At 38.4% G+C, this 12,168-nt stretch overlaps 1 protein-coding gene across 1 annotated transcript in view, besides 1 other annotated feature; it reads left to right on the top strand.

Moving 5' to 3' along the window:
* The window catches only part of SDK1 (sidekick cell adhesion molecule 1), a 967,749-nt gene that overhangs the window by 149,504 nt on the left and 806,077 nt on the right, over positions 1-12,168 (top strand). The gene's annotated exons all lie outside the window — the stretch shown is intronic.
* Positions 2,220-2,614: a silencer, noted in NCBI's record as "fragment chr7:3492607-3493001 (GRCh37/hg19 assembly coordinates)". NCBI's record gives its function as "represses an EF-1alpha promoter that drives an FKBP-Casp9 reporter gene in an ReSE screen in HepG2 liver carcinoma cells {active_cell/tissue: HepG2}" and the evidence as "EXISTENCE:reporter gene assay evidence [ECO:0000049][PMID:32094911]".

A 12,168-nucleotide genomic window follows, 5' to 3' on the forward strand; every position in this document is an offset into this window, starting at 1 on the left:
GTATTTTAGTCATGGGAGTATATGAAATTGCATAGATGGAATAATTGCATGAAGAGAGAAGAGGGATGAAGATGGAGACATCTAAGATGTAGGCAAAGGATCACAAGAAGACACTGAGAAGGAATGGCAGGAGACATAGGAAGAAAATAGGAAGAGAGGAGTTTTGCGGAAGCCAAAGGAGGAGAAAGTTTCATAAAGGAAACGATAGTCATTGCAGTCAGATGGCACAGAGATTTCACATCAGCTCATCCTCAAACCTGTCTCCTGGGTTTGGCAATAAAGAGGTCATCAGTGGCTCAGGCAAGAGAATGGGAGGCAAAGTGAGAGGAGTTTATAGGTTGGCTGCTAAGTGGATGATACAGTAGCTGGGAGATGATGTAGGGCTGAGCGAGGGTGTGGGTATGTAAGATGAACAAGACGTGAGCAATGTCCTAAATCTAGGGATGGGGGAGAGGGTGAAAATATAGGAGAAAGGGGCAATTGTTGTGAAGTTCCAAGAGACAAGCCCGGAGTTCCAGGAAAAATAGGGACCGCTTTCCCACTGAGTCTGGAGAGAGGAAGGAACGTTTTAGGATTTAAGGCACAGGCAAGTTTGAGGTAGGGCAGAGTAGGCCAGGGAAGAATGCGAATAGCTGCGTTTTTGTTTGTGAATTAAAGGGTACATTCTGAGGAAATGGAGGGAAGAGAGAGGGTCAGGGGACTTGGACACGGGGAAGGGAGCTGCCTTGCACTGAGGCCTCTGCAGATGATCACACTGCATCAATGTGATCAAAATGACGTCAGTGTTATCAGCAGTAGAATCAGAAACAAGTCGATTTCATCTAATTTCCATTATCTTTCACTATGTGAGATATTTTTATCCTGAGGATTTACATGTAACATAGGACTGAGTGATTTACTGAAATTTAAGCTACAGCCAATATTTGATTAACAATACAGGTATGAAATTAAACAGTACTGTCGGCCACCAGGGGTTCTACTCTGCGTGATCACTTTCCATTTTGCTCTCCTTCAAAACGTCCACATTTTTTCTCTCAGTCATAAACATTTAAAAACCAACTGTACTGGGCCAATCAAACTAGTGTAGTAAGTGAAAGACTTAGAGAAGTGTATGCAGGTGGTGTTGGGCAATTGCAAAGAGACTAGCCTCCAAATGGGAGTGTTAGCATAGCACGCAGGCTTCTCTCCTTATGAGCTCTGACTCCAATATTGACTCTTTTTTGTATACAGAAAACATAATCTGTTCAGAACTCATTACAGTGAAGGAACTTGTATTTTAAAAACAGAGATAGAGAACTAAATTTGTATTGAGTTAAATTGTATAAATTCTTTAAGGATTTCAAGGGTAAGCCGACTCACATGATTAAAGTAAGTTATGAGCATTTTTGTTTATCTGTTCAGTGTGTTTGGGGCTTTTGTCGTGTCAGCTTTCTTTAGGACAGGTAGAATTTTATCTAACCTCTTAAGAACAAGTGGTTATTTTCTCAAGGACTCTAGGATGGTGCTAGATACCCCAGATTCTTAGGTGCTGGCTTTATGTGTTGCCTTTGCTAAGCACTTGGTTGCTTTCTGCCACTCTTTGGAAGCAGGTGATTGATACTAGAAACTGACAGGTTGTGAGTGATGTACCCTTCCATTAAAAACAGATATACTAATTTGCTTTTCAATTGTAGAGAGCCTCTTACTATAAACATCCCTGTAATAAAGGTAACCTTATAATTAGTATGTCAAAAAAGCAAGAAAGTTATGATGAACATGCATTAATAACAAATCAAAACCTTTACTAATAAAATGTCACATTGAGAGGACTTAATTTTGTGTACACTTTCATACTAATATAAGGCACTCTTGCTAATAGTGAAAGATGGAAATATTTGCCAACCAGCTATGTTATAGAAGAACTTCCTACAATATTGTCCTATGTACGGTGACATTTAGAATTCAAGGAAATATACATAGTCATTGACTTTGTGTGGAATTTCCCTCCCCTCCTCCACCACCCTGTTAGAAATCCCCGCTGTTGACTGTTTCCAGAAGTCTTGCAGGGTGTTGTGATAAGAGTCCAATTCCTCTTCCCATTCCTGCCTAGGTCATCTCTTTCTTCCCTCCCTCCTTTTGTTCTGTGATTCTTTGTTTTATTTTTCACCACAGAACATACTTCATTATGCTGCCCCTGTTAAAATCAGTTACCCTATTCCACCTGATTCATCCTTGAGAAAACTACTCATGGCCATTGTGGGTTTTAATGCCACTGCCATCCCCGTCTTGCCATTGCCTCCTCAGCTCTGTCCTGCTACCACGATAGAGTGGACCCTGTGTCACAGCACCATTGGTACCCATCCTGCCACTGGTGTCTAGAACTTTGAGCAGTTTAACCCCCCCCGGTTTTCCAACTCTTTCCCTCACCAACTTGTGAAGCCTCTGAACTGGTATCTGAGCAGAGCCAGTGCCTTGCACTGTGGGAGTTTCCTGTCCTAATGCTTAAACAATGGCTCTAGAACTTGGCTGGGCATGAGGAACATCACTGGCTTGTAAGGGATGCAGAGCCCTGGTCCCCTGAATAAGTTGCCCTGGTGGGCCAAATAATGTTATTCCTCACATTTGGTATCCACATCAAATCCCTGGAACCTGTGAATGTGACCATTTGGACAAAGGGTCTTCGCAGATGTAATTAAATTCAGGATCTTGAGATGAAGAGATTATCCTGGATTATCTGGTGGACCCTAAATGCCAGTACAAATATCCATATGAGAGAGAGACACAGAGGGAGGGGAAGAAAGGAGAGGAGGCACTGTGACTGCAGGCAGAGATTGCAGTGGCGACCACACAGGAAGGAATGCCGACAGCTGCCTACTGTAAGAGGCAAGGAGCAGATTTCCCCTTAGAGCCTCCAGAGGGAGAGCAGCCTGGAACTTCTGGGCTCAAACCATCCTCTTGCCACAGTCTCTCCACTCACTGGCACTACAGGTGCACCACCATGTCTGGCTAATTTTTTTTTTACTTTTCATAGAAACAGGGTCTTGCTATATTGCCCAGGCTGGTCTCAAGCGATCCTCCTGGACTCAAATGATCTCCTGGACTCAAGTGATCCTCCTGCCTTGGCAGTATTTTTTTTAATGGCACTGAGAGACAGTATTATTTCCTCCCGGCACATTTGGATTGACTGTTAAGTAATCACATTCATTTCCTGATTTTGATACAATGTACGACTGGTTTTGTAGGAGAAAAAGAATTGGGAAGTTTTAGGAATTAGAAGTTATGTAGATTTTTAAACATTGAGAACTTTGTCATTTTCATTAAAAGGCTAACTTTTTTGTTATAACTTATTTCCTATTCACAGTACATCACCAGCTGCTTTTTTACTTATATAAACTTGGACCCGAGATCAATTGGTTGCCTGCTTACTCATTCTATAAAAATTTGGAGGCACCATACAGTAAGAATACATAAAAATAATTTACATCAAGGAAAACCAGGTCCACAAATAAAATCGATACAGCTAGATTATGAAAATCAACTCACTTTCTAGAGTTTCATCTTTATCATTCATTTTAATGTTACGTTTTTTCAGTTTTCCCATTTAAAAATGAACTTTTATTAATGCATTTCGATTTTTTCGTGTTCCCCAAGATTTGTGTGTGTGTGTGTGTGTGTGTGTGTGTGTGTGTGCTGTGTACATTTAAGTCTATGCAATTCTGTTACAGGTGTGGGTTTGTGTTTCCACAGTCAAGATACAAAATAGTTGCATTACTGCAAGAGTCCCTTGGGTTGTCCTTTCATAACTATCCCTTCCCAATCTCTGATCAGCTGCAATAACACATTTGTTTTCCGTTTCTATAATACGGTATGTAACCTTTTGGGATTTGCTGCTTTACTCAGCATAATTCTCTTGGAAATAATCTGATTTGTTGTGTTTATCAACAGTTAATTCATTTTTATTGCTCAGGAGTATTTCATGATATGGAATATACCATGGTTTGACTCTTAGCCCTTTGGAGGACATCTAGGTTACTTTCAGTTGTTGAGCTGCTGTGAAAATTTCCATGCAGGTTTTTGTGCAGACATCACTTTCCATTTCTCTAGGATCTGTGCCCAAGTGTGTAATTGCTGGGTTGTATAGTAATTGTGTTCAGTATTATAAGAAACTGCCAAACTATTTTCCAGAGTGACTGTACCATTTTACTATTTCACCAGTGCTTGAGTGGTACCGTTTCTCTGTATCCTTGCCTGCATTTGGTGTTATCCTTATTTTTTTATTTTAGATATTCTGATAGGTATGCAGTGATATCTTGTGGCTTTAATTCACATTTTTGTAATGGCTACTGGTGTTGGATATCATATGATATCTGTTCGTGTCATTTGTCCATTTTGTAATTGGATTTTTGTTTTTTTTTTACTGTTGAGTTTTAAAAATATATATTCTAGATACTTGTTCTTTGCTGGATATGTGGGTTGCAGATATTTTCTCTCAGTCTGTAGCTTGTCTCTTCATCATCTTACGAGGGTTTTCACAAAGCAAAATTTTAAATTTTGATAGATCTAATCAATTTTTTCTATATGGATTTGCTTTTAGAGTCAATTCTAAGAACTCTTTACCTACCATTAGTTCCTGAAGATTTTCTTTCCTTTTTTTTTTTTTCTAAAAGTTCTATAGTTTTAAGCATTACATATAAGTGACTCATTTCAAGTTCATTTTCTATAAATGTGAGACTTGGGTGGAGATTCATTTTTCTTTTTAATTGTTCAATGGATGCCTATTATGCCAGCACTGTATGTTGAAAAGACCATTCTTGCCCTGAATTGCTTTTTCATCCGTGTAAAAAATTAGCTGGGCATCTTACTGTGTGTCTTTCTGGCTTCTCTACTCTGTTCCATTGATCTGTGTGACTCTTCCTCCACCGATACCACACAGTTTTGATTATGGAGCTATATGGTAGGCCTTAGTATTGGATAGAGTGATTCTTCTCACTTTATTCTCTGTCAAGATTGTTTTAGCTATTCTAGGTTCTTTGCCTTTTCATATAAATTTTTAAATAGTCTTATCTGTGTCTGTAAAAAAACTTTGCTGAGATTTTGATAGGAATTGTGTTAAGCCAATAGATCAATTTGGCGAGGAGTTGACATTCTATAAGGTGACATTCTATGCATATAAGTTGACATTCTATGCTTAGTCACAAATTCTTTCAGTTTTCCTTGTCTTAGAATGTTCTTATTTGTTGTTCATTCCTCAAGGGTGATTTCACTGATGTAGAATTCATGGTTGACAGTCCTTTTCTTTCAGCACTTGAAAAATGTGTTGAAAACCTTCTGGTCTCCATGGTTTCTGTTGAGAAGTCTGCTATTATTTGAATTGTTATTCCTCTATAAGTACAGTGTTGTTTTTCTCACTGATTTCAAGATCTTTTTCTTCAGTTTTTATTAATTTGTCTTGCTATGTTTTTCCTTGAGTTTATTTTGTTTGGGCTTCACTCAGCTTCTTGAATCTGTAGATTTATGTCTTTTGCTAAATTTGGGAAATATTTAGCCATCATTTCTTTAAATATTCTTTCAGCCCCAGCAACTTTCTCCTCTGCTTTTGAAGCTCTACTGACATAAATGTTGGATCTTTTGCTTTTGTATTACAGGCTCTGAGGTTCAGTCATTTTTCTCCCAGTCTGTTTTCTCTCTGTTGTTGCTGGTCAATTCCATTGCTCTATCTTCAAGTTCACTGATTTTATGCTTTGTTATCTGCATTCTCTTATTGAGCTCATTCAGTGAGTTTATCTTTCAGTTATTGTATTTTTCAGTTCTTTAACTTTCATTTGTTTTTAAAAAAATAACTTCTAGTTCTAGATTTTTTTGTTTTATTTTTTTCCGAGAGAATACATAGTTGCTTGTTGATGTATTTTTGTGATGGCTGCTTTAAAATCCTTGTCAGATAATTCCAACATATGTCTCTTCTTGGTGCTGGCATCAGCTGCTAGCTTTTTCTCACTCAAGTTGTGATTCCCCTAGGTTTGGTTGTGATGTGTGACTTTGAAGTGTCTCTTGGACATTTTGGCTGTTATGTTAGGAGACTCTTGGTCCTACTTAAACCTGTTATTTTAGCTGACAGCCCCCTTAGTTAGGTTTAGCACTCAGGTTCTGGCCTGCTTTTGTGGGTGGTTCCAATGAGACCTCAATTTTAGAGCGTTTGTCTTGCTGTTTGGGTGTCTTTTGTTCATCTGCTGCCGATAGGACTCCCCCGATCCTTGCAGGTGCCTCTCAAGGGTGCACAAGGTGCTTCCGCAGTCCTGGCTGCCTGGGAACTTTAATGGGGGAAGGGAGTCTGGAAAGAAGTGCTTCTGACCACTGTTGTCAGTGCGGTTCTCTGTTGTCCGCTTTTCTGGTGCCACTGTGCTTACTTGGGTGTCGTTACTGGGATTCTGTTTGGTCCGGGCAAGGAGTGAGCCTGCCTTAGCTGCTGCCTTTGGTTGTTTGTAGGTCAGGAAACACGGGGCCTGGTTTGCTTTCTTCCCTTAGGTGAGGTTCATAAGATGCCCTGCCATTACGTTGTCCCTTCAGTCTTGGCCTTCCTAACCAGTTAGTTTGCCTCTTTCCACCTTTCTTCTTGCAGGAAGAAAATTTAACTTTTTTTTCTGATTCTTGTGCCTTTCCCGAGCCAATCCCCACAGACACTATACACAATGTCTTCTTATCTCCCTTTACCTTCCCACTGTCACAACTTGTGGTTCAATCATAATGTGGTGTGTACATCCTTATGACTATTAATTATTGGTCATAGCTGACCCATACAGCATACGATGAGGATAGCTCCTCTCTTTCCAGGTTTCTGTTTTGCCTGGTTGGATTCTATGTATTTATGATTAGCTCATCTCTAAACTGTATGAATTTCAGCTTAATATGGCCAAACTTGTTGACTGGCTTATTATTTCCTTTTCCTTTTCTTCCTGGAGATCTTCCTCTAAGAGCTACACATCAGTATGAGCTGATTGTTCTCTGGGTCTTCCAGACAGCTCTCATCTTGGCACCTCACACCACCACCTTCTCCCTGTCTCCTTTGTTGTTACCCTGATTCCTTGGACTCCATGTCTCTCTCTCTTTCTGGTTTTACTTGTTTATTGGAGCACACCTTCTGGGAGTTTCCTGAGAATGCATGTGTAAGAAGTAAATGTTTAGACACTTTTGATCTTTGGAAATGTCTATATTTTACTCTCACACTTGTCTAGGTAAAAAGTTCTTGGTTGAAAACCATTTTCCTTGAGAATTTTATATTGCCCTTTGCCTTATAGCCTCCAGTGATTCTCTTGACAATGGAAGTGACACTTGGATTCTTTTTTGTGTGTGTGTGTTTTTCCCTGTTGGAATACTCTTACTTGTCTTTTTCTTTGATGGTTTGAAATTTTGCATTGATATTCGTTGATGTGGCATGGTGGCCTTGATCTGGGTCTTGGTGGGTTATTTAATCTGGAAACTAATGTTTTTCTTTTGTGGGAAGATATATTATTTTCCCAGAAAGAAGTAATAAAATTATTTCTTTCCCCTGTTGTCTCTCTTTTCTCTTTCTGAAATTCATTTAGGATATAAGCTCTAAAAGTAGAGGGATTTTTGTCTATCCTAAGTGCCTAGAGCACTGTTTCCATAGAGTAGGTCCATATAATACATGTATTGCACAGATGAATAAATGAACTCCTTCTATGTGGCTGTTAAGTCTCCTGGATTTATCTTCAAATTTGTTTCCCTCTTTTATTGCTCAGTTCTTTTTCAGGCCATCTACCCCCTTTTTTCTTCAGAATTTTTTTTTTTGTACTTTTTTGTACCTTTTCTAAGGTAACAGTTGTGGCAAGAAACAGAACCATCTACAAGTATACAACCTACCTGGAATGGATTTTTACAATTCCAGAGTAGGAGGTAGATAGAGGTCATGATTTATTGTTTTCTATATAAATGTCTGTTTGATGCAGCATCATTATAATTAACATAATCATCCTTTCTCCAGTGCAGCGCAGTGTCACCTTTGTCCTAAATTGAGTGACTTTGTAGGACTCTTTCTACTTGCTCCAGGAAATACAGATTACGTTTCATTGGTCTGTTTTGTCTACCTATGCACCATTATCACCGTATCTTAATTACCGTAGTTTTACAAATAGTCTTTATGTTTGGTAATGAAAGTGCTCTAAATTCATTGTTCAGGATTGTCTTGATCATTATTTAATGGGGGAAAGAGTTTTAAGTTTCCATGTAAAGTTTCCATGTAAACTTGTAGAATCAATTGTCAAATGACATACACGTAAACACAGACCAAAAAACTCTGCTCAGATTTCGAATGAGATTGCATTAAATCTATAGATTGACCTGGGACAATTGACATCATTATAGTATTGTATCTTCTAACCTATGATTTTTGTGTATTCTTTTTGTTGTAACTCTTGCATTTTATCTGAAATTGCATGAGAAGTTTTGTCTATTCTTTGAAGTACCTTGTTCATTTCATAGGAATTTGGTACTGTATTTGTAGTACCTTTTTATACTCCTCTTTATGTAAGGTATGCTTTCAGTTGTCATACTTTTTGTATGGCTCATCACTTTTAAATGTTGCTGGTTTCAAAAGACTTGAAATGCACAAATCGTTTGCTGTTTATGTATTAGTTTTTAACATTATCTGATGTTGACAGGCAGTCGATATAGTGCTGGATGTAGCCACTCCCCAGTGCCATGAAGAACCCAGTTTCTGCCTGCCTTTCTGCTTCTCCTTCCTTAATGTGTTAATTTTTGTTCTGTGCTTTTGCCTTATAGTTGAAGCATCACTTTCCTGTTTCAAGAAGGAAGTGGGGAGGAGGACAAAGGGACAAAGGAGATGTCTGTAGAATGTATTGGCTCTCTTTTTTAAAATCAGGGAAGAAAATGCTTTTCTAAGTCCCCACCCCATAAATTGCTTCGTCGCATATTGTTGGGAAGACCTTGGTCACATGAACCTCCTGGTCGATCATGAATCAAGGGTAGTGAGATGGCTCCACTTGGTTTAGACCAGTTGTGATCCATGTCCTTGGCCTGGGGTAGGGGCCTTCCCTTCCTCTCCAGTACTGTTTGAACTGATTGGGATTCCTTGAATAGAAAAGGAGAGAGAAATAATGTGTAGGTAAGAGAAGGTATCTCTCGTGTTTATTGAGGCTTTTCAATATGTAATTTGCTTTTAATTTTAAGAAACTTGCCTGCCTCTTGGATAGCAAAGAAAGTGATTTTTATTTGTATTGGTCTTGCTTTTGCCAAACATTTTAAAATTAAGTGATTTGGGGATAAGTATTTATTTTGAAGTCTATTTTATTGTTTATTAAGATATATTTCAAAGTGGTATAATAAATGACATTATTATTTTCATAAACTATTGCTTCCTGAAGTGTTTCAAGCCAAATAAACATTTATCTTTTTGATGGGAAAATGCTTTCTAAATTTCCCTCAGCCAAGTTATAGAATGGAGCCAACTGCAGTACATGTGGGTCACAACCTGCTTGCCATAGTTGTATTCTGGGATGATTGATTAATTTATGCCTTTCATAAGGATGCTCTGAGAAAGAAATGAGTGAGAAGATTTAATTACTGAATTATTAACTTTTAGGAGCTCCACTTTGGAATGTGAGTCAATATCTATTACAGACTGTACGTGTTTATGCTATTGAAAATATGAATTAAGAATTGTCTTTGGTTATTTGACAACTCAAAAGATTTTATAACTTTTTGTGCAGCTTAAAAAGGAATTTAGAAATGTACTTTTAGAAGGGAAGGAATTCGGATAATTTATATGTCAGTGTGTCATAATAATTTATTTACACCAAAATCTCATTCACAGATTCCAGATTTAATGACCTGAATCTTGCCATTTCTTTTCTTTAGGCCTACCCTTATTTTATAGGTTCTATAAAATAATCGGAAAGGAATTAGAAATAGTTTTGTGTGTGGTGTCAAGTGGCTTTGTTTAATCATTGGGAATGAATCAGTTAAAAACTTATTTTGGGGCTAAAAACAGCCAGCCCAATTGTTATAAATTGGAGAATGAATGAATATGAAAATCTACTTACAGAAACCATTTTAGGTTATTCATATTTCCTGCTTGCTCTGTTTCTTGTCATTTGGTATTTTAAAAATAAGTCTTAGACTAGATTCTTGACTAAATAGCAACCTTTTTATCTTTGACAGAGACACGTTTCTTACATTATAAAAACATGAACATTCAAGAATAAATCACAGCCAACTTGAGGACCATACATATCTGACTTGGAAATTTGCTAATATATACAGATTTAACGGGATTTTACACATTTTCGTGTTTTTGAGGGCTTGTAAGGTTTCAGTTTGATTCTCATATATGATGGTTGATGTGTTGTACAAACCAATTAGGAGAGCAATCTAGCAATCCCTTGTTGAGTTAGAAGTGTGCAGACCCTAGGACCCAGCATTTACCTTAGGCGGTCTTACTGTTGTTGCATCTTGGCTTTGTCTAGTTTCTCTTGATTCCTGTCCATTTTTGGAACCTTGTTTTCTAGTCACTGTGACAATTCTGTGAGCGACATGGTCTGTTTCCCATAAATTCTTTGTCTGTTTGATATAGCTGAAGTTGTATTACTTCAAACCGTAACTCTGAGTGGTATAACAAAGATATCAAATTTTAGATAACACCCACATCTTCCTGAGCATCGTGTGATTTTAGTAGCTAGAATTTCTTTGTACAGAAGTCATTGTGGAGGGAAATGATGTGAAGAAAAGAAAGAAAATCCTGAGAACAGAGCAACAGTTGCTGTGGAGTGGCGTGAGGGCCGAATTCAAGTATAAAAATCTGGATTAGAATCCTCCGGTCACTTAGTAGTTGTGTGACTTTGGTCATTGTTGAACTGTTGTGAGGTTTCCTTTTCAGATCAAAACTTTCCCTTTTCCTTCTCTCATTCCCATCTTTTCAACAGATGACATCACCTTATATGTTACAGAGAAACAGAAGCCATTAGATGGAAAAAACCTCAATATCCAACTTACAGAAATGACTGACCTGCATTTATCTTCAGCATTTCCTCCTTTTATTAAATATCTGAGGTCAGTATCTCCACTTGGGTTTTGAGTTCCATCTTTTTCTGTCTTCCTAGGGAACATGTACTATCAATTTATCTTTTCCCTTTCTTGAATACCCAACTTGTTGCTCTTAACCAGATCAGTTTCATCGGCATTTAAGCATGTTCAAGACTCTTCTGTATTAAAAAAGAACCACGACCTCCCCTAACCCTTCCCTAATCTAACTACTGCACCCTACCTCTTCTCTTTGCATTTACAGCAAAGCTCCCGGAAAGAGTTGTCTGCTCGCTGCCTCAGCCCACACCTTTTTCATGTGGTTTCCGCTTCTGTCATTCTATCAGAATTGCTCTGCAGAGGCTGATCAGTGACTTCAGTGAAACCAGGCCTAAAGGATGCTCTTCAGTTCACATCTCACTCCTCAGCAGCATTCTTCACCGCTTGCCGCTCTATCGTTTTGAAATACCTGTAACAAGCATGCTGCCTTGGTTTCCCTCCTAAATGACCTCTGCTCCCTCTCCTCTCAATATCTTTCTCTCTTCCCCCCTGCCCCGCCGAGGTTGAGTATCATTATAATATCATTGTCTACCTATTATTGAATGTTAGCATTTCCCAAAGCTAGACCTAGTTCTGTTCCATTCTCAACCTACAATCTTTTCCTAAGCTATTTCATTCATGTACATAGTTTGAATTGTCCTTTTATGTAATATTATAGATGATTCAAAAATTTATCTGAGCTCCCATCACGTCTATCTACCTGTTAACTTGATATTTCTACTTATATCTTTCTAAGCCATCTCAAACTCAACTCGAACTAGACCAAACTTACCTATCTACCTAGTCCAGCTGTACCATAAACTTTGATGCCTTATTCTTCTTGATGCCTCATCCACATTAACTCCACTTATCACCATATTTTCACCTCAAACACCTCTGTGATCTCTCCCCTCCTCTCTCTATTGCCGCCATCCTAATGCAAGCTGTCATCATCTCTTTCTTGGCCAACTGTAGTAGATGTAGTCTCATCCATTGTGGTTCTTTCTAGTCTGTCTGGGACTCATGACATCGTGCTTTTGGGAAACAGAAGTGATATCATGTTACCCCCACCAGGTTATCCTTGCTTGCCTTCTCATT

This window comes from Homo sapiens, chromosome 7 (assembly GCF_000001405.40).
Source record: "Homo sapiens chromosome 7, GRCh38.p14 Primary Assembly".
NCBI classification, from domain to species: domain Eukaryota; kingdom Metazoa; phylum Chordata; class Mammalia; order Primates; family Hominidae; genus Homo; species Homo sapiens.